Genomic DNA, 27,401 nt, shown 5'->3' with positions numbered 1-27,401 from the left:
CTGGTGGCTGTTTTTTCTCAACAGTACCATGACTTCATAATCTGAACTATATCCAATAATACTGATAGGATGGTTTTAAATTATATTGCCTTTCATTTTGTTTTATCAAGGAGGCTATGAAGTCCCTGCTAGTGTTGTCTTTCCACTTTGGGAAGTGAAGCCTGTGTTCTTTGTAATAGGCTTTCAATTGTTGCTAGTGCCATGGATGCAATTTTCACCTTTTAAGCTCATTTAAATGTCAACAATTCTCTACCTGCCTCTTCCTGAACAGAGTATTTTTGCACTTTTCAAGAGTTAAATTGAGGGGTGCAGTGGCTTACACCTGTAATCCCAGCACTTTGGGAGGCCAATGTGGGTGGATTACTTGAGCCCAGGAGTTCAAGATCAGCCTGGCCAACATGGCAAAACCAGTCTCTACTAAAATATATATGTACACAAAAATTAGCCAAGCGCAGTGGTGCACGCCTATGGTCCTGGCTGCTTGGGAGGCTGAGGCCGGAGGGTCAGTTGAGCCCAGGAGGCAGAGGTTGCAGTGAGCCGGGATCACACCACTGCACTCCAGCCTGGGTAACAGAGCTAGACCCTGTCTCAAAACAAAACAATAATAACAACAAAAAAAACTTAAAAAAATAGTTAAATTAGGACTAAAATTTCAGATGCTTTTAGTGCTGCACAGTCATCTATGAACAGGGCCTCTTTTAGATTACCATTGTATCCGCATGTATTAATGTGCTGTATTAGGCAGGCCCACTTAAATCTGTCTTGTCCCCCAGTTGGTGTTTTCTGCTTCCACTGATACAAAATGGCTCTCCCAGGAAAGGGACACCCTCAAAGCTCAGCTTCTCACAGGGTCCTCTGCCTTTCTCAGGGGAGCTTGGAGAATGGGGGAATTGGCCCTCATGGGGCAGAGTGGAAAAAGGGTCTATCTTGTGCTGAAAACAGACACTTATATGACTATACGGAGAATGGGTGCTATACAACATGCCTAACTCTTGGATTGATTTTTCTAGAACCAAGGAGTAGAGGTGGGGCACCAACACTATTCCAGCTGGGGCTCCAAATTCCTGTCTGTAGGATGGCCTCTGCCTGAGGTCAGAAAGCAGGAGCACCGTGAGGTTCAGGACCGTCTTCTGCACACTGGCTACCAGGACCAGGAGGCTATTCTATGCTCTGTCCATCCTCACTGTTTAACCAGAAAGGGCATGCCCAAGCCTACAGCAGGGGCTGACAGCATCTACAGGGTTAGAAAGAGATGGGGTCCATGAGGGTTCCAAGTCCAGGGACTGAAAACAATCCCATGGCCCCAGAGACAAAATTACAGCTCAAGTCACCATGTTCACAACTCTAACGTCAACACAAGGCTCCCTCAATTGCCTTGCTGTAAAATAGGTGAATAGGTGTAGTGGGAGATTCAGTGGCCAAGCCTGGGTCCCAGGTAAGGTGACTAACCATCCCAGTTTTCCTGAACAGAGAAATTTCCCAGGAAACTTTGGGTTTTAAAGCCAGGAAAGTCCCAGGTAAGCAAGGGTGAGTTGATCACCCTGGCAGGGAACTGATTCATTCAATTCTGGATAATTGAATAAAGTCCACATCCTCACCGGGAACATTCTACTGAATGATAAGAAGAAGTTCCTTCTAGTTTTGCCTGTTTCTTTTCCAGGATCTGGGTCCATGGGACCCCTACCTTATCAACTGTCCCCATACCCAGGCCCTGGCTCTCATCCCTACATTGACCTCCACCCCTTCCTCCACAGGCAGGCCAGAAAGCAGACCCAGGGAGGATAGCACATGTCTTCGGCTACACTGGTGAAGGCATCGTGCCTGCTCCACAGCACATTTTTATTCAAGGTATTGTATTTGCAAACAAAAATGAAGTCCCACAAATGCGGGACTCCACCTGACTCTCAAAAAGAAAATAAATCACAAGTGTATTTTAAAAGCTACATTTGAGATTAGCAAACTGGAATCAAATGACAGATACTTTATCCAGAAAGCAACAGACATTCTTTTTTCAGTTGTGCTTCTTTGTTAAAGCATCTTGCCTCCCAGAGGTATAATGCGTTCCCCAGGAGCAAACACTGAAGCGCACTACAGTAATATCTTTCAAGAGCGGTGGGTGTGGTTCCAGCAGGATTCTAATTATGGCAGAGAAACAGCAACTATGACCACCAAACCAACAAAAATGATGTGAAATGCAATTTCTTAATTTCAGTCTCAAACTGTGCCTGGGCCAATGTATGTGAAAGCCCGATGTCCATGTGGATTCAAATCCTGATTCACTCAGGCATGGTACTTAACATTCTAAGCCTCAGTTTCCTCATCTGTAAAATGGCTTTCCTATCTCACACAGGCAGTTAGCCAAGGCCTGATATGCAGAAAGTGCTCAGCTGCTGTGACTCTTCACCCTTCCTGTGAGATGCCTTCTTTAACCCCACAGATGTGTACCATGTGATGGCCAAGGGAGCTTCATCAATCATGGCATCTCAAGGGAGCTGGAGCAGATGAGGAGGAGATGGAGGTCCCAGGAAGGGCTGTGATCTGCCTGGGGTCCCACAATGGGAAACAGGCATGAGCTCTCCACACTCCCTGTCCAATGCTCTTTCCACTACAACTGGCTGTCGGTCTCCCATAGGACAAGAAAAAACAGTCAAAAAGGAAATCGAAGGGATTTTTGTTTTTATCCCTGTTCTTTTGTTGGTTCTATCTGTTCTGTTTTGGGTATTTTGTTTGTTTTTATTTGTGTACTTTTTTTTTTTTTAAATGGAGCTTCCATCATGTAGGAGTAGGGTGTAGAAATCTGAGTTGGTGGCTCCCTGGTATAAGACCATAGCCTTCATTTTGGTGAGTAACAACATAATTTCTGCTTTGAGTCCCATTTTCTTGCAGTGGAAGCTTAATCTCAGAGTATCAAAATCACTGCATCTGAGCGTGGGCCTCCCCACATCATGGGAGGAGAAGGATGAGTAGATGATGTCTCATGGAGAGGACCTGCCAGGATCCCTCATCGCTGGCCTTCAGCTTTCTCATCTGCCCTCAACCACAGAACCCTGGGAGGAGGCTCCCTCAGTGGCTCGTGCACTCTTGCAGGCCCTGTGAACATATATACTTCCTGGTGGGAAGAGCAAGGGAGCCTCTGGTGGAAAGCAGCCCCAGGGTCCAAGAACCACACAGCCCTGCATTAGGGCCCCCAGGGAGGGAGAAGACCAAGGTCATGCTTTTGAACCTGGATGCCAGAAGAGAACAGCTGTGGGGAAAAGCATGCCTGGAACCAAGAAAAACATGTTTACCAGGGGCCATTCCTCACACCAGCTGCAGGCAGGGTCAGGAAAGCCACAGGCTGCACTGTAGTTGCAACCTTGCATGCGGACGCAAGGCTCAGAATGTTCCTCAAAGATCCTAAAATGTTCCCAGAGTCAGGCTGAGTCCATTCAAATGTTCACTCACCCTGGCCACACTCACTACACCTGACTTCCCTGTATCATGAGTTAGAGAAATAGTATAGAGTCTGGTTGATGCTGGCAGGTGGGAGGGAATGGGATAGGAAGGAGAGAGAGAGAGAGCAAGAAAGAAGGCTGTTTGGGTTTTTGTCTATAACATATGTATATACACTCATCAAGTCCATTATTTAAAACCTCTTTCATGGTTTCAATTTCCTGTGGACCACTTTTCATGCCCATTTTAAGTTCCTTGAAGGCGAGGAGATACATGTGTATCTGCCAGCTTCACTGTGCCTTATATCTTAGGCAATCAATAAATATTAGTAAATCAAAGGATGCCTGATACTCTAAAAATGTCTTATTATTTTTAGGTGATTTGGGCAAAGCACACGCATTGTATTTGCATCTGGGAACCACATTTTTAATTTAAAAAAGTTATTTGTAGGCCGGACACGGTGGCTCACGCCTGTGATTCCAGCACTTTGGGAAGCCGAGGTGGGCGGACCACTTCAGGCCAGGAGTTTGAGACCAGCCTGGCCAACATGGCAAAACCCTGTCTCTACTAAAAATACAAAAATTAGCCAGGCGTGGTGATGCATCCCTGTACTCCCAGCTACTCGGGAGGCTGAGGCATGAGAATATCTTGAACTGCTCCTTTTTATTGCTGAGTGATATTCCATTCTATGAAGCTCAGTTTGCTTATCCGTTCTCCTGTTGATGAACATCTGATGTTTGCAGTTCTCCTCTCCGTGAGTCTTCTTGTAAACATAATTTTCATTTCTCTTGGGAAAAACCCTAGGAGTGGTACTGCTGGGTCAAGGGGGTAGGTGTTTGTATAGCTTTATAAGAAGTTACCACATCCTTACTAATATTTGGTGATAGCTATTCTTTAAGTTAAAAGTGTAGAGGCATCTCGTTGTGGTTTTAATTTTTATCTCCCAAATGAGTAATGATAAGTGTCTCTTCATATACCGAATGGCTATTTGTGTATCTTTTTTGTGAACTGTCTCTTCAACTGTTTCATCCATTTCTGATTGATTATCTTTTTATTATTGAGTTGAAAGAGTTCTTCATAAACCCAGGATTTCAATCTTTTTTCAGATGTTTTGCAAATATTTTCTCCTAATCTATGGCTTGCCTATTTTCTTAATGGTATCACTTATCAGCAGAAGCTTTTAATTTTGACAGGGACACATTTATTCATTTTCTGTTACGTTTATTGCTTTCTGTGGCCTGTTTGTCTATAAACATTTGCCTGTCTCCAGGTTATGAAGATGCTCTCCTATATTTTCTCTAAAAGTTTTATGATTTTATATTTAGCCCTACAATAATTTAGAATTAATTTTTGTTTGTGACGTGAGAAATAAGTTAAAGTTTTCTTTGTGTGTTTACTTCTGAACATCTAGTTAATACAGCACCATTTTTGAAAAGACTTTTCTTTCCCCATGGATTGATTGCTTTGGTACCTTTGGCAAACAAATGACCATGTAATCATGGGCCTGTTTCCAGCTCTCTTCTCAGATCCACTGATCTATTTGTCAGTCCCTATGCCAGTAACATACTGTCTTAATTATAAAACCAACAATGTCGGTATTATAATGTTTTAAAGTCATGTAGTTTGAGCACTCCAGATTTATTTTCCTAATTCAAGATTGTTATAGATACGCTAGATTCTTTGCATGTCTATATAAATTTTAGAATCAATTTGTAAATTTCTACAACAGATTCCTGCTAGCATTATTACTGGGATTGCAATAACTCTACAGATCAATTTGTGGAGAACTGACATCTCAACAACATTGAGTCTTCCAATCTGCAAACATGATACTGTGTGTGTGTGTGTGTGTGTGTGTGTGTGTGTGTGTGTGTGTCTTCTTTAATTTCTTTCAATAATTGTTTAGTTTTCAACATAGAGATCTTGTCCATCTTTTGTTGTTTATTCATGAGTATTTTATGCTTTTTGAAGATACTGTAAATAAAATTGTTTTTCTAATTTCATTTCCCAAATTCTTGCTGCTGATATATAAAAGTATAATTGATATTTTAATATTAACCTTGTATCCTGTGACCTTGTTCAATTGATGTATTAGTTGTAATAGTTGTTTCTTGCATTTCTTAAGATTTTCCACATAAACAATCACATCGTGTGTGGAGTGAGTTGCAATTCTTCTTTTTAAAATCTTTATGCCTTTTTTTTTTACTTACATTATTGCAATAGTTAAGACTACCTAAAATAAATTGGTAAGTGTTCTTGCCTCCTCTGTTTTTGAAAGAGTTTGTGAAATAATGATACTATTATATTTCTTCCTTAAATGTTTTACAGGATTAATGAGACAATCTTGACCAAACTTTTCTTTGTGGAAGATTTTTAAAAATAATACATTTTGGCTGGACACAGTGGCTCATGCCTGTATTCCCAGCACTTTGGGAGGCTGAGGTGGGCAGATCTCTTGAGCTCAGGAGTTCGAGATCAGCCTGGCGCAACATAATAAAAACCCCGTCTCTACAAAAAATGCAGAAATTAGCCGGGCATGGTGGCATGCACCTCCCAGCTACTTGGGAGGCTGAGGTGGGAGAATCACTTGAGCCCAGGAGGTTGAGGCTGCAGTGACTGGAATAACACCTTAGCACTTACACTTGGACAACAGAGCAAGATCCTGTCTCAAAAACTAAATAAATAAATTCAATTCAATTCAATTTCCTCTCCTACATGAGTTATGGTACATTGTGTTTTTCAAGGAATTTGTCTATTTCATCTAAGTTGTCTATTTTGTTAGCATAATGCTTTTATACTTTTTTTAAATGCTTGTAGCATTTTCAGTGATAACCCCTCTTTCATTCTGATATTGACCATTCGTATTCTCTCTCCTTTTCTTGATTAGTATAGCTAGAGTTGATCTTTTCAGAGAACAGACTTTTGGCTTTGTTAATTTTCTCTATTCTTTGTTGTTATCTCATTTATTTCTGTTATTATATATAGAATTTCTTTCCTTTCTACTTACTTTGGGTTTTCTTTTTTTTTCTTTCCTTTTCTTGTATTTTTCCCCTCCCTTCCATTCTCCCTCCTTTCCTCCTTTCTCCTTTCCTTCCTTTCTTACTTTTTTTCTTCTTTCTTTCTTCTCTCATTTTAGACTCTTAAGGTGCAAACTTAGGTTATGGATTTTAGACCTTTGCTCTTTCCAATGTAAGTATGTAAAACTCTAGATTTCCTTCTAAACATTGCTTTAATTAGAGCTCATAAATTTTCATATGTAACATTTTCATTTTCATCTGTTCAAAAGCTTTTCTAATTGTCTTTGTGATTTCTTCTTTAATTCATGGGTTTTTTTAAAATAAGTGAGTTGTTTGACTCTAAACACGTGGAGTCTTCCTAGATATCTTATTGTTACCGATTTCTAACTTAACTCCATTGTGGTCAGAGAAAATGCTCTGTAGATTTCAATTATTTCCAACTCATCAAGACTTATTTTATGGATTAACGTATGCTTTACCTTGACAAAAGCTCCATGTGCACCTGAAAAGAAGATATATTTTGCAATGGTTGGGTGTAGTGTTCTATAAATATCAATCAAGTCAAGGTGATGGTGGTATTACATAGATCATCTATATCTGAACTGATTTTGGGCCTAGTTTTTCTATCAACAGTCATTGAGAGATGTTAAAATTTCCAACTATGATTGTGGGATTGTCTACTTCTTTTAATTCTGTCATTTTTGCTTCATTTATTTTGAAGCTCTGTTACTAGGCCTATATACGTTTATGATTATAATGTCTTCTGATGAATTAATTCTTAATTCTTATCATTATAACATATCCCACTCTATGTCTGGCAGTAGTCTTATTTTGAATTTAATGTCATCTGATAATAATATAGCCACTTCAACAGTCCTATATTCTTCTTATACTCTTTTCATGGTATTTCTTTTTCTATTTATTTCTTCTTAATATATCTGTTTCTTTCTGTTTAAAATGCATCTCTTATAGAAAGCTTTTTTATCCATTTTGACAATCTTTGTTTTTAATTGGAGTTTTTAGTCCATGAGCATTTAAAGTAATTATTGACACATTTGGATATGTATCTTTCATTTTACCATTTGTTTTCTGACTACATCCCCTCTGATTTCTGTTCCTTTATTCTTTTTCTGCTTTCTTTTAAACTTATTGTAACATATTTTAGAATTCTTTCTTGATTTACCTATTGGCTTTCTAGCTATACTTATTTAACTTTTTTTTTTTTGAGACAGAGTCTCCCTCTGTCACCCAGGCTGGAATGCAATGGCATGATCTCAGCTCACTGCAACCTCCACCTCCTGGGTTCAAGCAATTCTCCTGTCTCAGCCTCCCAAGTAGCTGGGATTACAGGTGCCCACCACCATGCCCGGCTAATTTTTTGTACTTTAGTAGAGGCAGAGTTTCACCGTGTTGCCCAGGCTGGTCTCAAACTCCTGAGCTCAGGCAGTCTACCTGCCTCGGCCTCCCAAAGTGCTAGGATTACAGGCGTGGGCCACCATGCCCAGCCACTTCTTTGCTTTTTTTATTGATTGTGTAGAGATTACAATGCATTTCCCTTACTTTTCACAATCTATTAAAGATTGTGCCACTTGGCTGGGGGCGGTGGCTCACGCCTGTAATCCCAGTACTTTGGGAGGCTGAGGTGGGCAGATCGCAAGGTCAGGAGATAAAGACCAGCCTAAACACAGGGAAACCCTGTTTCTACTAAAAAAAAATACAAAAAATTAGCCGGGCATGGTGGTGGGCGCCTGTAGTCCCAGCTACTGGGGAGGCTGAGGCAGGAGAATGGCGTGAACCCGGAAGGCAGAGCTTGCAGTGAGCTGAGATTGCGCCACTGCACCCCAGCCTGGGCGACAAAGCGAGACCCCGTCTCAGGAAAAAAAAAAAAAAAAAAAAGAAAAAAGATTGTGCCACTTATGTAAGTAGAAACCTTGCAGTTATATAAAACTACCCATCCCTAATCACTCTTTATACTGCAATTTTCATATGCATCACATCTAAGTGACAAACCCCATAAGACATAAATTTTGCTTTAAAGAATCATATGTATTTTAAATAAATAAAGAGAAAAAGCACCAGTCTTTTCTATTTATCTAGAAATTCACTATTTCCAACAGGATCGTTTCCCTTCAGGAAATACTAAAGGAATTTCCTTTAGTATTTCTTATAATACAGATCTACTGGCGATGAATTCTCTTAGCCTTCTGAAATGTCTTTATTTTGCCTTCATTCTTGAAGGATAATTTTGCTACATATGGAATTCTGGGTTGACAATTTTTTGTGGCACATTAAAGATGTTGTTTCACTCTCTTTTGGCCTCCATTGTTTATCAGAAATCAGCAAATATTGCTTTTTTGTTTCGTGTGATGTGCCATTTTTATTTAGCTGATTTCAATCGTTTTTCCCTTATTTATGAATTCAGCGTATAACTATGATATCTCTAGGTATTACTCTGCTTGGAGTATCATGAGCTTCTTGAATCAAAAGTTTTATACCTTTCATCATATTTGGGAATTTATTTCTGCTCCATTTACTCTCTTCCCTCCTAGAAGTAAGAGTACCAATTACTAGAGTAACTAGAACTCCAATTACTCCTATGTTAGACATTTTAATATTTTTGAACCAGTCCTTGAGACTGTTCAATTTTTTCTCTGCCATTTTTCTCTCTTTTCTTTAGATTGGATCATTTTCATCTGATCCCTTTTCAAGTTCATGGACTCTTCCCTATGTTGTCTCTATTCTGCTAGAGGATGAATTTTTATTTCAGATATGTTATGTTTTAGTCTAGAATTTTTATTTGGTTGCTTTTTATAGTTTGTATTTTTCTGATGAAATTTTACAACTTTTTATTCATTAGGAGCATCTTTTCCTTTACATGACTGAACATAGTTAAAATCCTTACCTGCTAATTCCAACATTTGGGTCATCTGCCATTCTCTTTTTGTAAGTGTTGACTCTTCTCCAGAATCTGCCTGCTTTATTTGCCTCCAAATAGTTGTCCTGTGTGCAAGTGTGTGTGTGTGTGTGTGTGTGTGTGTGTGTGTGTGTGTGTTTTCAAACTCTTAAATGTCTCAGTAGTCAAAGGGTGGCTAATCTGATGGTGAGATCCTGAAAAAAGAGAATAAATGTTTTCATCCTGCTTTCTTTAACCCATGAAGGTGCAGGAAGAGATTGACTTCATTCTCCATAGAAGGCCTAGCTGGCTCTGTGGCACAATGGAAAGTGCATTGTCTATAGGAGGCCTTGTGTACATACACATGTGCACTCACACATGGGGGAGAGCCTATAATCTTTGCTGACAACAGCATGCAGTGTATAAATCTCTGTAGCTCAGACCCAGAACCTGAAAAATTTAGACCTAACATTACTTTGGCCCAGTAAGAATGTTAGCTGGAAATTAGTTTATAGCCCAGGAGCTATTTTTTAAAGATCTGTAGGCTTACTAGCCATGACAATGATGACAATAATGATGATGAAAATGACATCATCATTACCAATAGCTACTGCCATCTATTGATCCCATAACATGTGATCATATCTCTGTCCTCAGAACAATCCATTTCACAGATGAAGAAACAGACTCAGTGAGCACGTGATCACTTCTCACAACTAATGGAGCCAAGATTCTGTCCTTATGGCTCCAGAGACCTCTTTTTTTTCCCACTGTACCACAACACTCACCAGGACTGGAGTGCCACCTATGACCTCATTGCATAATGGATGGCTTGTCCTCAAATGGGCCCGGGTATGTGTACATGTATACTTATGTCTATAGGGGAGAGGGGAAATTGACCCACTTTCCTCCACTCTAACTCCAGATCTCAGCTGCCGAGTGGAAACCCCATTCTCACACCATAGCTATGGGACTGGGGGAAAGGGGAGGAAATAACTAAAGAGTAAGGAATTGGGGGAGGCTTTGAGGTTTGGATGTGACAGGTAGTTTGCATGTAGTTGGAATGCAGTAACATTGGTCCACAAGGTTTGTCAGAAACCCTGGTTATTTTGGAAGGTTCCAAAGTTTTGTCCTCTTCAGATATCATGAAAACAGGAAATTCTGTAAACATGGCCACTGAAGGGCTAGCTCATTTCTTGGAAAAGGAGTTTCTGGAGAGTTCTCAGAGCATATAAATAGCAGGGCCATAAAGACAAAGGTAACCATTCAAGGAATAGAGAAGTATATTCTCAAAAATTACACGCCAAGCCAGAGCTGTGGTTCAGAAAGGGGGTTTTATGTTGTTTCTGTTGTTGTTTCAGTTTTGGCCTCAGAAAGGATGCGCGGCCCTGCTGTAAACAGCCTCTCAGCACTGGGAAGGGGTGTGCTTACGAGGCTGGTGTAGACATCCAGAGCCTAGCCTAGATAGGAAGGCCCAGGCACCCACAGGGAGGCCTGCTTTGACAGAGAAGCATTTCTGTTTAGAAGAGGGCACCTGGGAGATATTTCCAGAGAGCTTCTTATGACTTGTCATGTAGCTCTTCCCCCATGTTTTCTGCAGCTGGAGGTACCATGCACCTTTGAGGGACCAAGGACCCAAGACTTGAGGTAGACACTATTCCCAGCTGGATACTCTCAATGTTGAGGATATAGATGCACAAACCAATGCAGGGAGGCCTCCAGGAGCCACTGGAGAAGAAATCTTCAGATCCTACCAGGCCCATAGCTGTTGCCTTTGTGGGCTCCTGGGTTAATTTCCACACATCAGTGGCCCACCTTATGATATCCTCCCTGCATGCCACACTCCCGGCCATGCTCTGTGGACAGCCATTATTTCCAGTAATTGCTAATGGGAGCCAGTCTCCAAAGAGTAATGAATCAGAGGTGTTCCTTGGAATGTGTTACACTAGGACTTCGCCGATCTCACAGGCTCCTTTCCAGATGAGCTGACTGTAATCTCTGGGAAGCTGGATCTGGAGGAACAATGGGATGGGATTTGCGGTGACCCTTCCTGCCCTTCTTGAGCAGCTTGTGAACCAGAAGATGTGCCTGGAGAGAAAGCCTCATTTGGGGAAGTGCAGTAGTCGAAGTTCTTTATTTTGAAAATGGAGAACAACCCTTCTCACAATCCTGTCTCCCCTTCCCCCTTTCCAACTAGAATATCAGCTCCCCTGAACATGAGTCAGTCACATTTCAGGGAAAACTGGCTGATGTTGAAGAAATCACTTGAGGGCAAACTTTGTCCTTCAAGCTGTGGGTCTCTGAAGTGTAGAGCCAGCAGATCCCCCAGTGTAGGGACTGGGCCTTCCTTGCCCATTGAATGCTTTCTATACATGAAGACTTGGAGCTCTTTACAGATGACAGTAGCCAGTGAGGAAGATAAAAGAAGAGAAAAGACCCAAAATGCGGGTTTGCCACTCTTTTTTGCCAGCACCGTGGGGACAGTCACTCTGCCTTCTTTCCACCACCTCCAACTTCACACTCACACGCACACTCTGGTCCCACAGAGCCTGTTTGGTACTTGCCTGACAGCCCACCTTGAAACCAGATGGTCATGAACCTGTCACCAAGTCATCTGAAGATCTTCCACTGCAACCTGTATGGCATCTGCCACAGGGACCATGGGACATGATTGAAGAACCACTCCAGTGCAGTTGATGAAGGGGTGGGTCTGCACTGGAGTTAGGTGCACCAGGGCCTGGGCCAAGGGTGGGCTGGGTCCATCTTGTGTGTGGTGGTCTTCTTCAGAGTAGCAGCTGATTCAGAGGGATTCCATAGAACTGCACAGGCTAGGTCTAGTCAGATATCTTGGACATTTTCTATTTCTAGATTAGAGAATATAGCATACGCTGATTTTAATATAACTGTGTATGTGACTTTTTCAGTGAGAAAAATTTTAAGTGATGTTCTAAACAATTTTTGGCATGTAGACAGAATAGTCAAATATCTGTTTAACTAGCAACATAGTTACTCGTGCATATTTAAAATACTACATGAGTATGGCCTGGCACAGTGGCTCATGCCTGTAATCCTAGCACTCTGGGAGGCCGAGGTGAGCATATTGCCTGAGTTCAGTTTGAGACCACTTTGGACAACATGGTGAAACCCTGACTCTATAAAAATACAAAAATGTAGCCAGGTGTGGTGGTGCGTGCCTGTAGTCCCGGCTACTTGGGAAGCTGAGGTGCAAGAATTGCCTGAACCTGAGAGGCAGAGGTTGCAGTGACCTGAGATTGTGTCACTGCACTCCAGCCTAGGTGACAGAGCAAGACTACATCTCAAAAAATAAAACAAAATAAAATAGGCCCTGTGCCGTGGCTCACGCCTGTAATTCCAGCATTTTGGGCAGCTGAGGCGGGCAGACCACCTGAGGTCAGGAGTTCAAGACCAGCCTGACCGACATGGTGAAACCCCATCTATACTAAATACAAAAAATTAGCCAGGTATGGTGATGCATGCCTGTAGTCCAAGCTACTTGGGAGGCTGAGGCAGGAGAGAATGGCTTCAACCTGGGAGGCAGAGGTTGCAGTGAGCCGAGATTGCGCCACTGCACTCCAGCCTGGGTGATAGAGCAAGACTTCGTCTCAAACAATAAAATAATAAAATAAAATAAAATAAAATAAAATAAAATAAAGTAAAATGCTACATGAGTTTGGAAACATTGCTTTTTCCCACATTACTCACCTCCTTTACAGCACCAGCATCTTGGTCGACACAAGATCTCTCTTTAATTATGTCACAGTTTGTTGATGAATACATTGCCTTTGCTTCAGTTAAATCAAGTAGGATGCAGTGACTCCAAGTCTGAGGGGTGCTTCCCAGGAAGAGCCACCCCCCACAGCCATTTGCAGAGCATTGGAGTAAGTTTTACCTTCATCCCTTAGATGTGAATTTGTTATCCTCACTGTGACAATCCCTTATCACATGGCTTTTAGAAGGATTCTCAAAAAGCTAGACTCTCACATTCAACTTTGCAATTGCCTGGCTGGGTGTTACGTTTCTTTGCCTCCTATTAGAGACCCTATCAGCATCTAAAACTAGCGTTGTTTGAGGATGTTGGAGCCAACGGTTCTTTGCCAGATAGAACTTTGTGTGTCCAAATAAATGGTTCAAAATCATCAAGCAAATAAATACCCTGGAATAAGAGAAGCCTCATGAGGATTTGACTCCAAATTGACTTCCTCTGTTCTGCAGTAAGAAGTTAGGAATTAAACCAAACCTTGCCTGAGGTTCAGGTATACTCAAAAGCAATGAGGTGTGGCTCAGGTGTGCGCTGGCAAGGTCACTGTGAAGTTCAGCCAGAGGCTTTGCAAGCCTGGGCCTGAGAAGCCAGACCTCTTAGATCCAGAAGGGCCAATGGAGCTGGGCTGGCCTGCTGCCACTCACAGGCAGAGACTCTGCCAGCAGAAGGGACTCTGCTGTCAGAGCTGGAGGGCAGCGGACCACATGGCTGAGGCCCAACCACAGGTCTCCTGACTCAAAACCTCTTCCCAGGGCTTGTCCTCCTCCCTAAATATATGTGCCCCAAATTGTCACCAGATCTCGGGAAAGCACTGGCTTTGTCTGGGATAAACACCAACTCCACAGCACACCCAGTCATTACCAGATTGGCAGTTGTTGTCTAGGTCTTGTGGCTTCTTGGGGTTTTCTCGGGTGTCTCTCTCCCAAATCTTTCCCCTTTCCTTTGATTATATTCACATAAACATTGAGCTTTGTAGCCCTCAAGCTCTCTCAAGCATAACTCACTTTGTCCCTCTCTGTTTCCCTATGCAGTCGCCTCTCCCTCTGCTGTCAGAGGCCCATCCAACTGCTCCAGCCCTGTGGCTCCAGCGTCTCCTCCTCTCTCTTTCCCCTGCTCTGTTTCTGGGAAGATCTATCTGAGGGTCCTGAAGGAGGAGACTCGAGGTTGTTCTCTTGGACAAAGAGGTCTGGGTGGATGACATAATTCACTTTACGTCTTAGAAAAATAACCTTGTGGCTCTTGGCTCTCCTGGGCTGTCATTTTGGTTGCCTAAGGGCTCTAGGCAGAAGGCCAGGGAGCCCAGCCCCAGCCTAGAACTTGCAGGGCTCAGAGAGCTGCAGTGACGGGGTGTCCGCTGTGCCTGCCGCCCCCCTTGCCATGGACTCTACTTGCAGAACTTCACAGCTGAGAGGCTGGCCCTGAGATTCCCCTTTATGCCTCCCAAAGCTTGCGATTGCTTAATTATACGCTGCTGTGTACCAATTTCCACTTTCTCTCCCGGTGTGTTTTGACTGATAACTTTGACTTAACCTCCTGATGCCAGAAACTATGTTGGCTACTGCTCTGGCGGCAGGAAAAGGCCGGTTCCAGGGAAGGCTGAATGCCTATTGTTCTGGATCATTTTGAGAAAAAAAAAGAGATACCTTGAAGAAAGATGAAGACAAAATATGGAAGGGTGCTGAATTTACAAAAAGCCTAAGGGGAAAAAACTCAAATGTCCCTCAGGAGTGGAATGAGTAAACAAATCATGGCGTGTTCACACAATGGAATGCTACCTACCAATAAAAAGGAATGAACTGCGGATGCACACAGAAACATGGGTGAATCCACTAGGCATCATGTTGTGTAAAAGAAAGCCAACTTGGCCAGGCGTGGTGGCTCACGCCTGTAATCTCAGCACGCTGGGGAGGCTGAGGCAGGTGGATCACTTGAGGTCAGGAGTTCAAGACTAGCCTGGCCAAGATGATGAAACCCCATCTCTACTAAAAATACACAAATTAGCTGGGCGTGGTGGCGCGTGCCTGTAATCCCAGCTGCTTGGGAGGCTGAGGAAGAGAATTGCTTGAACCCAGGAGGTGGAGGTTGCAGTGAGCCAAGATTGCACCACTGCACTCCAGCCTGGGTGACAGAGTGAGACTCTGTCTCAAAAAAAAAAAAAAAAAAAAAAAAAAAAAGCAGACGCAAAAGACATACTACATGGTTCCATTTATATGAAGTTTTAGAACAGGCAGAAATAATCCATGTGGATAGGATAGTGGTTATTGAAGAGCAAGAGCAAGGGAGAATGTGGATTGCCTGGGAGGGAAAGAGAGGCACTTCTGGGAGTGGCCTGTATCTCATTCACAGTGGTAGTCACACCTATGTATGTGTGCAAAAATTCACCCAGCTCTTAATATTTATGCACTTTACTGTATGCATGTGATGTAGTTTGGATGTTGCCCCCTCCAAATCTCATTCTGAAATGTGACCCCCAGTGTTGGAGGTGGGGCCTAGTGGGAGGTGTTTGGGTCATGGAGGCGGACCCCTCAGGAATGGCTTGGTGCCCTCTCCTCAGTAATGAGTGAGTCCTCACTCTATTAGTTCATGCTAGAGCTGGTTGTTTAAGAGAGTGGCACTCCTCCCACCGCTCTTCTTCCTCCTCCTCCTCTCTCACCTCGTGACATGCCTGCTCTCCCTTTACCTTCTGCCATAAGTGGAAGCTTCCTGAGGCTTTACCAGATGCAGATGCTGGTGCCATGCTTTTTGTACAGCCTGCAGAACCATGAGCCAAATATACATATTTCCTTTATAAATTGCCCACTCTCAGGTATTCCTGTGTAGAAAACAAAACAGACTAATATGGCATGTTACACCTCAATAAAAACCTTATAAAAATAGATAAAGGCAATGAGGAGTCAGTGGAGGAGGATCCAAGGCTCAGAAAGAGAAGGAGGTATATGAGAAGCTGAGGGAAGCAGGGGAGAGCATTTCAGTAACAGAGAGACACGGTGGACCAATGTGGAGAGACTCTTGGATTGGGTGACTGAGAAATTCTGTCCTGACAGAAAAATTTCAACAAGATAGCTCCAACTTGAAGAAAGAGCAAGGTTAAGGAAGATTCTGGAGGCTGATGTTCTTGTTCTTGTTGTTTAAGTCTTGGACGAGCCTGAGGATGTCTACAAGTGGAAGAAAAGAAGCCACTGGAGCAGAAGGTGGGGAGGATAAAATTTGGAGCAAGATTCTCAAGGAAGCAACAAGATCCTAAGGCGAGTAACCCTGAGTTTAGTTGGGAAAAGGAGGATCATTAGGAGACCAGGAGGGAAAGAAAAGGTGGCAAGGTGTCTAGCCACTCCGTGTGGAGCGTTTCTGAGGGTGCTACCAGCACAGGGTGAGCACATTGCTCCATGAGAGGGATGTGAGACCTTGAATAGAGGAGTCACTGTTGGGAATGTGAAATTTTTTCAACAAGAGATCAATACTGGAAGTGATAGAGGCCCAGAACTATAACTGGCTACACACCCAGGAAATCCCATTTTGACCAGTTACTAGCCATGTTTGGGAACCCAACAATTAATGCAGAGAAGGTGAGTGTGTACAGGTGTTCCTCCGGGTTGGGGATTAACAATGCAGATTTGACAAAAAGTTGACAATTCTTGGAAAGTAAACATGTCGCTCAGAAGGACCCATAATGACAGAAAATGATGGCTTAATATTTGTAACATTAAAGTCCCAAGAGGAGAGTATAATGAGTGAGGAGCTGAAAAATATTTGAAAAAATTATGGCTAAAAATATTTCTGAATTTGGCAAAACACATAAACTTGTAGATTTGAGAAGCTCAGAGAATCCCAAACAGAATAAGCTCAAAGAGATTCTCACTTAGAGACATCATAAGGAAACTACTGAAAACTAGGAACAAAGGAATTATCTTCAAAGCAGCAATGAAAAATGACATTATTTATAAAATTACAATTATTTAAAGGGTTGTAGATTTCTCATCAGAAACCATAGAGGCCAGGCCGGGCGCTGTGGCTCACGCTGTAATCCCAGCACTTTGGGAGGCCGAGGTGGGCAGATCACTTGAGGTCAGGAGTTCAGGACCAGCCTGGGCGAAACCTGGGCAAAACCCTGTCTCAACTAAAAAATAAGAAACTTAGCCAGACGCAGTGGTGTGTGTCTGTAGTCCCCGCTACTCAGGAGGCTGAGGCAGGAGAATCGCTTGAACCTGGGAGGCAGAGGTTGCAGTGAGCCGAGATCACACCACTGCACTCCAGCCCGGGCGACAGAGCATAGAAGCCAGAATGCAATTGAACAACATTTCAAAAAACCTTGTTTTGAAAAAATTAAAGATTCATGTCTCGTGTTCACTTTCTCTGATTTTCCCTGGTGATTAGCATCTTACCTAACTATAGTATAATGTCAAAACCAGGAAATCCATATCGGTACAATGTGTGTGTGTGTGTATGTGTATGACATTCTGTGCCATTTTTATCACAGATGTAGACTGATGCACGTTCAGCCACAATCAAGATGCAGAACTGTGCCATCACAACAAAGTTCTCCCTCATGCTGTCCCTTTAAAGTCACATCCACTGCTCCCCCATGACCCCACCCATAACTAACCCCTGGCAACCATTACTCTGGTCTCCAGTTCTACAATTTTGTAATAGTGAGCATTTTACATAAATGGAATTATACAATATGTGACCTATTGAGAATGGCTTTTTTTCCCCTTCAGTGTAGTGCCCTTGAGATCCATCCAAGTTGTATGTATCAATAATTTGTTTCTCTTTATTATTGAGTAGTATTCCATGGTATGGATATACCACAGTTTGTTTCACCATTCTTCTATTGTAGGACATTTTGGTTGTTTCTAGGTTTGAGTTATTACATATAAAGCTGCCGTGAAGAATCATATACAAGTTTTTATGTGCACATATTTCCATTTCTCTGAAATAAATGTCCAAGAATATCATTGCTAGATCGTATGAAAAGCGTATCCTAGTGCTAGAGTGTGGATTTTGTGTCGCCCCCAAAAATTTATATGTTGAAACGTAATCGCCAATGTGATGGTGTTAGGAGATTGGGCCCTTGAGAGTTAATTAGGTCTTAGGGGCAGGGCCTTTACAAATGGGATTAGTGCCCTGAAGAAAGAGGCGCTAGAGAGCTGCCTTTCTTCTTTCACCATGTGAGGATACAGTGAGAAGGTGCCATCTGTGAACCAGGAAGCCAGCCCTCATCAGATACTAACCCTGCCAGTGCCCTAATCTTAGACTCCCTATCCCCCAGAACTGTGAGAAATAATTGTTTCTGGTTTAAGCCACCCAGTTTATGGTATTTTGTCATAGCAGCTCAAATGGAGTAAGATACTCTTAAGAAACTGCCCAACTACTTCCCAAAGTGGTTGTGCCATTTTACATTCTCACCAGTAATGTAGACCTAATTTCTTAGCATCTGGGTCAACATTTGACATAGATTCTATTTTAAATTTTATTTTTGCTGCTCTGATAGGTGTGTGGTGATATAAAATGAGAGTCTTAATTTACATTTTGTTAGTGGGCAGTGGTGTTGAGCATCTTTTCATATGCTTATTTTCCATCTTTGGTAAAATGGCTCTTCATGCCTTTTGCCCAATATCTAATTAGACTGTTTATTTGTTATTGATAAGATTTAACAGTTCTTTAAATAAATTCTAGATATGAGTCCTTTATTGACGATCAGATATCAGAATTATTTAGAAATACTTTCTCCTAATCTGCACCTTGTCTTTGCATTCTCTTATGATATTTTACTGGCAAATGTCTTTAATTTTTATGAAGTCCAATTTATCAATTTTCAGTTTATACAACATGTTTTGGTGCCAAGTCTAGCCAACTAGGAGCTCCTGGAAATTTTGTCCTGTTTTTTCCTGAAAGCTTTATAGTTTTACATTTTACATTTAAGGCTGTGATCTATTTTGAGTTTTGTTTTGCTCTTTTTTTTTTTTATAATGTGTTAGGTACAAAGTACCTTTTTCTGTAAGCCCACACTTCCCTAGTTACTCAAGCACTATTTGTTGAAAAGCCCATTCTTTATCCATTTTGGATCTTCATCAAAAATCATTTGGCCATATTTTTCTGGGTCTCTTTTTGGATTCTTTGTCTGTTCCACTGATCTGTGTGTCTAATCCTCTGCCAATATCACACTGTCTTGATCACTGTTGCTAAGTAGAAAGCCTTAGCCTTGAGTAGACTGGTTCTTGTCCATTTATTCTTCTTTTTTAGAATTGCTTAGGCTAGTTTAGTTTTTGTGACCTTTCTTATAAATTTTCGAATAATCTTATCTACAGAAAACATTGCTGGTATTTTAATGCAAATTTTGTTAAAACTGTATATGAATATAGGAGAATTGTTGTCTTTCAATCCATGAATGTGATGGGTGTCTCTATTTATTTCAATTGCCTTTGATTTCTTTCATCGACATTGCATAGTTTAGGCATATAAACCCTTCAAGTACATGTTTTGCTAGATTTGCACCTAAGTATTTGTTTTCTTTTTTTCTGTGTGATTGCAAATGGTATTGCATTTTTAATTTGGGTTTCCACATGTTTATCGCTAGCATATAGAAATACAACTAATTTTATGTTGATCTTATGACTTTGCTGAGCTTATTAATTCTAGGAGATTTTTGATAGATTCCTTGGGATTTTCCACACACCTTTATGTAATCTGCAGATAGCAATAGTTTTATTTCTTTTCTGTCCTGTGGGTCTTTTATTTCCCTTTCTTGTCTTATTGCACTGGTTAGAACTTACAGTATTATGTTAAACAGCCTTGCCTTATGATCTTAGGGAGAAAGCATTACATTTTTCATCACTAAGTATGATGTTGTAGATGTTTTTATCAAGTTGAGGAAGTTTCCTTCAGCTCCAGATTTTTTAGAGTTTTCATCATGAATGAGTATTGAATTTTGTATTTGTCCTTTTTGCAGCAATTGAAATAATCATGTGATTTTTCTTCTTTAGGCCTGTTAATATGGTGGATTATTACACTGATTGATTTTAGAATATTAAACCAGCCTTGTATTCCTGGGATAAACCCCACTTGGTCATGTTATATAATGATCTTTTATATTAAAGAATTCTATTTGTTAGTATTTTTCTTATAGATTTTTATGTCTATATTCATGAGGGACACTGGACTATAATTTTCATTTTTTATACTGTCCTTTCCTAGTTTTAGCATCAGGGTAATACTGACCTCATAAAATGAATTAGGAAATGACCTTTCCTTCCTCTACTATTTTCTGGATGACACTGTATAAAATTGGTGTTAATTGTTCTATAAACTTTTGGTATAATTCTCCAGCAAAACCCCCAAGCCTATAAATTTCTTCCTATGGCTTTTAAAAATTATAAATTAATTTTCCTTAATAGTTATAAGGCTATTCAAATGATCTATTTCATTTTAGATAAATTGTGGAAGTTTGTGCTTTTCAAGCAATTGGTCCATTTCATCTAAGTTGTCAAATTTATGTATCTGGAATTATTCATAGTATTTTCTTATTAACCTTTTGATGCCTGCAGGGTCTTTAGTGATATCCCCTGATTCCTGATGTTGGCAATTTATGTGTTCTTTTCTTCTTTGTCAGTCTTGCTACAGGTTAGTCAACTTCATTGACCTTTTCAAGGACTAGCTTTTGTTTCATGGATTTTCTCTATTGTTTCTTTGTTTTCATTTTTACTGTTTTCTGGGCAATCTTTTTTTTTCCTTCTGCTTGCATTGGGTTTATTTTGCTCTTCTTTTTCTAGTATCTTGAGGCGAGAGCTTAGCTTATTGATTTGAAGAATTTCCTCTTTAAACCATGGGTTACTTAGAAATGTGTTGTTTAATTTGTAAGTTATTTGAGATTCTCCTGCTATATTTCTGTTACTGATTTCTTGTTTGATTCGATTGTGGTCCAAGAACACACTCTGTATAATTTCGATTATTTTACATTTGCCAAGGCTTGTTTTACAGCCCAAGATGTCATGTATCCTGGTATATGGTCTTTGGGCACATGAAAAGAATGTGTATTCTGCAGGTTTTGGGTACAGCGTTCTAGAAATGTCAATTAGACCCTGTTAATTGAAGATGTTGTTGAGGTCTTCTGCATCCTTGCTGATTTTCTGCTTGGTTTTATATCAGTTGGAGAGAAAGGCAGAGAAACAGTAGCAAAATGCCCAATGATAATTATGAATTTGTCTATTTTTCCTCTCAGTTCTGTTGGCTTTTACTGCACACCTTTTGGGTGCCTTCTTCTTGGCGGGGGGCAGCCCAAGCTTCCTGCGTGTTCTCCATTCACACTGCATGGAGGAGGGTCAGCAGCTCGTTATCTCCAGGCAGGAAGTCCTGTCCAGACTCTGCACCTGGCCTTCCTGACACTACCTGGGGAGCTGGGGTTGGGAGGCTGAGGTCCCTAGTCGGGCTGCCTTCTTCTCTGTATCTTTCAGTCTTCTTATGTTTGTTTTATACAATGCCTTAGTTGTACTTAGTGAGAAGAATAAGGAAAAATATATCTACTCCATCTTTCCAGAAGCAGAAGTCTCAAAGCACTGAACTTTAAAAATCACTAATTGATCCCGTTTAGCTGTGCTACTGTGAATGGTGACCAGGGTTGGCTGGTGCCCACCTTTCAGAGGTGGCACACTAGAGAGGAGTGCACAAGACACCGACTGCAGTGTGGCGGGGTGCATCTCAAGGGCAGGTCGGACGCCAGGCCCTGCACACGAGAGGTGTTCACTGGGCTCATGGGGTAGAGGAGCCAGATCCGTGAGGCCTGGAAGGTCCCACGAGGTGCCTGGACTTCAGCCTGAGAGCAGAGGAGGCCACATATGGGTCACAGCAGAAGTACGGGTCAGAAACAGATGTTAGTAATGTCACTGCATTCAATGCACTGCCCACTGGGTTGGCCCCAGTTGCATCCCCAGACTGCTCAAGGCAGGAGGAAGCCACAGGAATTAAATGTGTGGAATGTGTGGAATGTGTGGTGCTGGCTTAATGCTTCTGTGTTAGCAATTTTTTTTTTTTTTTTTTTTTGAGAAAGGGTCTCACTCTGTTGCCCAGACTGGAGTACAGTGGCACGATCTTGGCTCACTGCAACCTCCGCCTCCTGGGTTCAAGCGATTCTTATGCCTCAGCCTCCCCAGTAACTGGGACTACAAGCAAGCACCATCACGCTCAGCTACTTTTTGTATTTTTTGGTAGAGACGGGGTTTCATCATGTTGGCCAGGCTGGTCTCAAACTCCTGACCTCAAGAACATTTGCCAAAAGTCACACCAATTGCCTAAAAGCCACTATGTTAAAAATCAATTTGCAAAACGACCAGTTTCACAGATTCCCAAATCACTAAAAACTTCTTTGTAGTAATTATTTACAAAATGTGTAATCATATGTGTTTCACAGAAAGTTTCGAAATCTGGTAATGATTTTTTCCCAACATTTTGGCCTTTGGTTGTATTTAGTTGAGATGTTGCATTTTTAGTTTCTCTACCACTGTTTTCTATCAGATTTATAGGCATGTGGTTCATATTTCAGAAGCTGACTACTCCTCAGTAGTTACTATAAAGGTTTTGGCAATTCATGAGGCTTTTTATATTCTAACCTTTGGTTTTCAGAAAAGATGATCTTGCCCTTCAAGTGCAATTTTACACCAATTTTCGTCATCTTCTTTTTTTCAAAGTGGTTTGGCAGTCAGCCAAATAAAAGTTTTTTCTGCATGTTAATTTTCACATATCCATGACAACTTCCCCAATGACAAAATCCAAAAGTGGGAACTGTAGTCCAATTTAGACACAAGTCTAAAATTGGAATTGACAATAAATGTGGTTGAGGGAAAACCCGTCTATTGACACCAAAAAAATATTGTGTGTTTGAGAAGTGTCCCACTCCTGAAATATGGAAACCCACATGAAATTGACATTTACCAGGGAGGGACTGAGAAATCCACAGCAAAACGGCTGATAAAAACATACCTGACACTTGCAAACTAAACTGCTAAATATAAGTGAAATAGAAAACCAAAGCTGGGGGGAAATCCTCAGTGTTTTAGAAACCAGAGCACACAAATTGTTATAATTTTAAAAGTAATTAACCAAAGCAACTTTTGGGTGAATTCCAGAGATCACTTCTCATGGAAATTGATCGTTTGGAAAATTAATTTTCAGCAAATTGTTTTTCAATTAATTGACTTTTGGGAAATAGTGATTGGTAATTTGGCAAAATTACCAAATCACCTGCACCCAGTCACCTGCAGGGTTTGATGCTGCCTCCAGGGCAGACGGGGAGCATCTGAAAGCTGGAAAGGAACTTGAGTTGTGGGGTGGAGGATGCTGTCCTCCATGTGTGGGAGGAAAGATGGAAGGAGCAGCACAAAGACAGAAGAAACTGACCCATTTCTTCAACCTTTCCATTTTTCCTGGGTTTTTAACCTCTGTAAACCAACAATCAGGAACCTGCAGCCCCAAACCTGCCAGCCTCCCTCCTGATATAACCAATGAAATGGACAGACCCTCCTCACAGTCAGGGGGAAATAGACACTTGTCTACCCCTGCACTGACTCAAGCAGAATTATGTTTCTCATTCATATTCTAATTCTTATGGCTATTTTCTTCTTTTTTCCACATATTGATCTAAACCTTTGTCCCTAATAAAGACCTCCAAACTCTACTGACACAAAAGTGATTGGGCATGAGTGACGTTTACTGGGCTTTGAGGTTACCTGGTTAAGCAGGTAACTGCAAGTGGAATCTTAGTCATCCCCAGTCTGCCAAGCCATGCCTGGCTGCCCTGAGAAGTTCTTCGCATGACCTCTCTTCTTCCACACATACTCAGCTCCTCTCCTCTCTCTTTTGAGCTCCACCTCCTTTCTGCTCACTCCTCCTCCCTCCCACTGGTTCCCCTTCAATCCTCCTGTTGTTTTCTTGTACAACGCCTCTTACTCTGTCCTACCCTCTATTTCCACATGTTGATAGAGAAAGCTCACTTTCCAGAGCCATGCAAGCTTAAGAAGGTGCAAAAGAAACTGTGCCACTCCCCTGAGACAGAAAAGTCTGCTGCATTTCTGTAAACTGCAATTTAAAGCAATCCTCCATGCTTTACATGCGCTAAAGTCCCCCATCCTGACAAAAACCTCTCTCTTGACCACATTTTCCCCTCTCATCCCACCTTCCTTTCACAACCAATCTTCCTGAACCAGCTACTGATACTCGCTGCCTCTTCTTTGTCCCAACCAGTGGACACTTCCGACCTTTTTCTTACTTAACCTTCTTTTAATGTTTGACACAGTAGACACTTCTTCCAGAAACCCTTTTGTTGTCCACCTGCTCTGGCCAGGATTTCTCAATCTTCTTTGTACCGTCCTTCTCTGCTGTTACCATCTTAGAGGTCAGGGAACCCAGCTTTGGCCTTGGGACTCACCTCTTCTATAGCAGGACCTACGTGGTCCCACTCAGCGATAGACTCAGCCGTGGATTTCACCACATGTTGCCTTGGAGTCTTGGGTCCTTGTCCTGGGCTTGAGCCACTGAGGACACACCCGAATATCTCCCGGATGTCCAGAATACGCCATCTGCAAAACTGAACTCGTCCTCTTTCCCCCGAATGTATCTCCCAGATGTCCAGAATACGCCATCTGCAAAACTGAACTCGTCCTCTTTCCCCAGAATGTATCTCCCGGATGTCCAGAATACGCCATCTGCAAAACTGAACTCGTCCTCTTTCCCCAGAATGTATCTCCCGGATGTCCAGAATACGCCATCTGCAAAACTGAACTCGTCCTCTTTCCCCCGAATGTATCATCTCCCAGATGTCCAGAATACGCCATCTGCAAAACTGAACTCGTCCTCTTTCCCCCGAATGTATCTCCCAGATGTCCAGAATACGCCATCTGCAAAACTGAACTCATCCTCTTTCCCCAGAATGTATCTCCCGGATGTCGAGAATACGCCATCTGCAAAACTGAACTCGTCCTCTTTCCCCCGAATGTATCTCCCAGATGTCCAGAATACGCCATCTGCAAAACTGAACTCGTCCTCTTTCCCCCGAATGTATCATCTCCCAGATGTCCAGAATACGCCATCTGCAAAACTGAACTCATCCTCTTTCCCCAGAATGTATCTCGCGGATGTCCAGAATACGCCATCTGCAAAACTGAACTCGTCCTCTTTCCCCCGAATGTATCTCCCGGATGTCCAGAATACGCCATCTGCAAAACTGAACTCGTCCTCTTTCCCCAGAATGTATCTCCCGGATGTCCAGAATACGCCATCTGCAAAACTGAACTCGTCCTCTTTCCCCCGAATGTATCTCCCGGATGTCCAGAATACACCATCTGCAAAACTGAACTCGTCCTCTTTCCCCCGAATGTATCTCCCGGATGTCCAGAATACGCCATCTGCAAAACTGAACTCGTCCTCTTTCCCCCGAATGTATCTCCCGGATGTCCAGAATACGCCATCTGCAAAACTGAACTCGTCCTCTTTCCCCCGAATGTATCTCCCGGATGTCCAGAATACGCCATCTGCAAAACTGAACTCGTCCTGTTTCCCCCGAATGTATCTCCCGGATGTCCAGAATACGCCATCTGCAAAACTGAACTCGTCCTCTTTCCCCAGAATGTATCTCCCGGATGTCCAGAATACTCCATCTGCAAAACTGAACTCATCCTCTTTCCCCCGAATGTATCTCCCGGATGTCCAGAATACGCCATCTGCAAAACTGAACTCGTCCTCTTTCCCCCGAATGTATCTCCCGGATGTACAGAATACGCCATCTGCAAAACTGAACTCGTCCTCTTTCCCCCGAATGTATCTCCCGGATGTCCAGAATACGCCATCTGCAAAACTGAACTCGTCCTCTTTCCCCAGAATGTATCTCCCGGATGTCCAGAATACGCCATCTGCAAAACTGAACTCGTCCTCTTTCCCCCGAATGTATCTCCCGGATGTCCAGAATACGCCATCTGCAAAACTGAACTCGTCCTCTTTCCCCCGAATGTATCTCCCGGATGTCCAGAATACGCCATCTGCAAAACTGAACTCGTCCTGTTTCCCCCGAATGTATCTCCCGGATGTCCAGAATACGCCATCTGCAAAACTGAACTCGTCCTCTTTCCCCAGAATGTATCTCCCGGATGTCCAGAATACTCCATCTGCAAAACTGAACTCGTCCTCTTTCCCCCGAATGTATCTCCCGGATGTCCAGAATACTCCATCTGCAAAACTGAACTCGTCCTCTTTCCCCAGAATGTATCTCCCGGATGTCCAGAATACGCCATCTGCAAAACTGAACTCGTCCTCTTTCTCCCGAATGTATCTCCCGGATGTCCAGAATACGCCATCTGCAAAACTGAACTCGTCCTCTTTCCCCCGAATGTATCTCCCGGATGTCCAGAATACGCCATCTGCAAAACTGAACTCGTCCTCTTTCCCCCGAATGTATCTCCCGGATGTCCAGAATACGCCATCGGCAAAACTGAACTCGTCCTCTTTCCCCAGAATGTATCTCCCGGATGTCCAGAATATGCCATCTGCAAAACTGAACTCGTCCTCTTTCCCCCGAATGTATCTCCCGGATGTCCAGAATACGCCATCGGCAAAACTGAACTCGTCCTGTTTCCCCCGAATGTATCTCCCGGATGTCCAGAATACGCCATCTGCAAAACAGAACTTGTCCTCTTTCCCCCAAATGTGTGTCCACTGCTTGAACCAGGAAACTGGATATCATCTTAAATCCTCCCTTTCCCACCACCACCAAATCCAAGCTGGGGAGCCCCTCTTCTTTACTGCCTCTGAAAACCGCACTGTCCCCCCACACCCCATGGATCCTGCTTGAACCCAGGCACTCATCACTTCTTCGCTGGGGTATGACCATTCCCCTGGCCTTCCTATCTTCCCATCTATGCCCAACATGGCTGCCAAGGGGATCTGTCCTAAATGCAAAGTTAGCCATGCCTGCCCTCCCTCCCCTGGCTTGCCTGAAATCTTTCAGGAAGCTCAGAGCTTTTAAGACAACATTTTGAGAACAAGGACCTTTTGCAATTTTACGTCTTCTGTTTTCTGGAGTCCCCAAATTCAGCTCAGCCTTCATGGCTTCTAAGAAACTTGCCTTGACCTCATCTTTCCTATGCGTTCTGTGCCTAGCTAGCAAAATTCTTAGCTGACATTACTTTGATCATGAACTTTGTTGCCTGTGAGTTCCCAGAGGGCAGGCCAAGTCTGACTTGGCTTTGTTGCAAAGTCTAGCACATGATGGACATTCAATAAAGTTTTGATAGAGAGAAAA

General features: G+C 42.4%; 1 protein-coding gene and 1 long non-coding RNA gene across 8 annotated transcripts in view; both read left to right on the top strand.

The window, feature by feature from the left end:
- The window catches only part of MIR4435-2HG (MIR4435-2 host gene), a 299,296-nt gene that overhangs the window by 245,166 nt on the left and 26,729 nt on the right, over positions 1–27,401 (top strand). For 2 of the 7 annotated variants that reach the window (NR_136162.1, NR_136166.1), the window contains exon 4: positions 16,257–16,368. The exons of 1 other annotated variant lie outside the window; for it this stretch is intronic. This is a non-coding gene — a long non-coding RNA (MIR4435-2 host gene). Of the gene's footprint in view, positions 1–1,754; positions 1,849–9,999; positions 10,195–16,256; positions 16,369–27,401 lie in introns of all 7 variants that reach the window. 4 more of the 7 variants (NR_136163.1, NR_136161.1, NR_015395.2 and 1 more) reach the window with 4 other exon arrangements.
- LOC124907867 (periaxin-like) lies at positions 1,789–27,401 on the top strand. Its single transcript, XM_047446748.1, has 2 exons — positions 1,789–1,848; positions 24,782–27,401. The coding sequence occupies exon 2, from the start codon at positions 24,783–24,785 to the stop codon at positions 26,949–26,951; it is 2,169 nt and encodes a 722-aa protein (XP_047302704.1). The 5' UTR covers positions 1,789–1,848; position 24,782; the 3' UTR covers positions 26,952–27,401.

This window comes from Homo sapiens, chromosome 2 (genome assembly GCF_000001405.40).
Source record: "Homo sapiens chromosome 2, GRCh38.p14 Primary Assembly".
In the NCBI taxonomy this organism is placed as follows: domain Eukaryota; kingdom Metazoa; phylum Chordata; class Mammalia; order Primates; family Hominidae; genus Homo; species Homo sapiens.
Note: the sequence above shows the minus strand (reverse complement) of the source record. Positions and strands in the feature narration are given on the sequence as shown.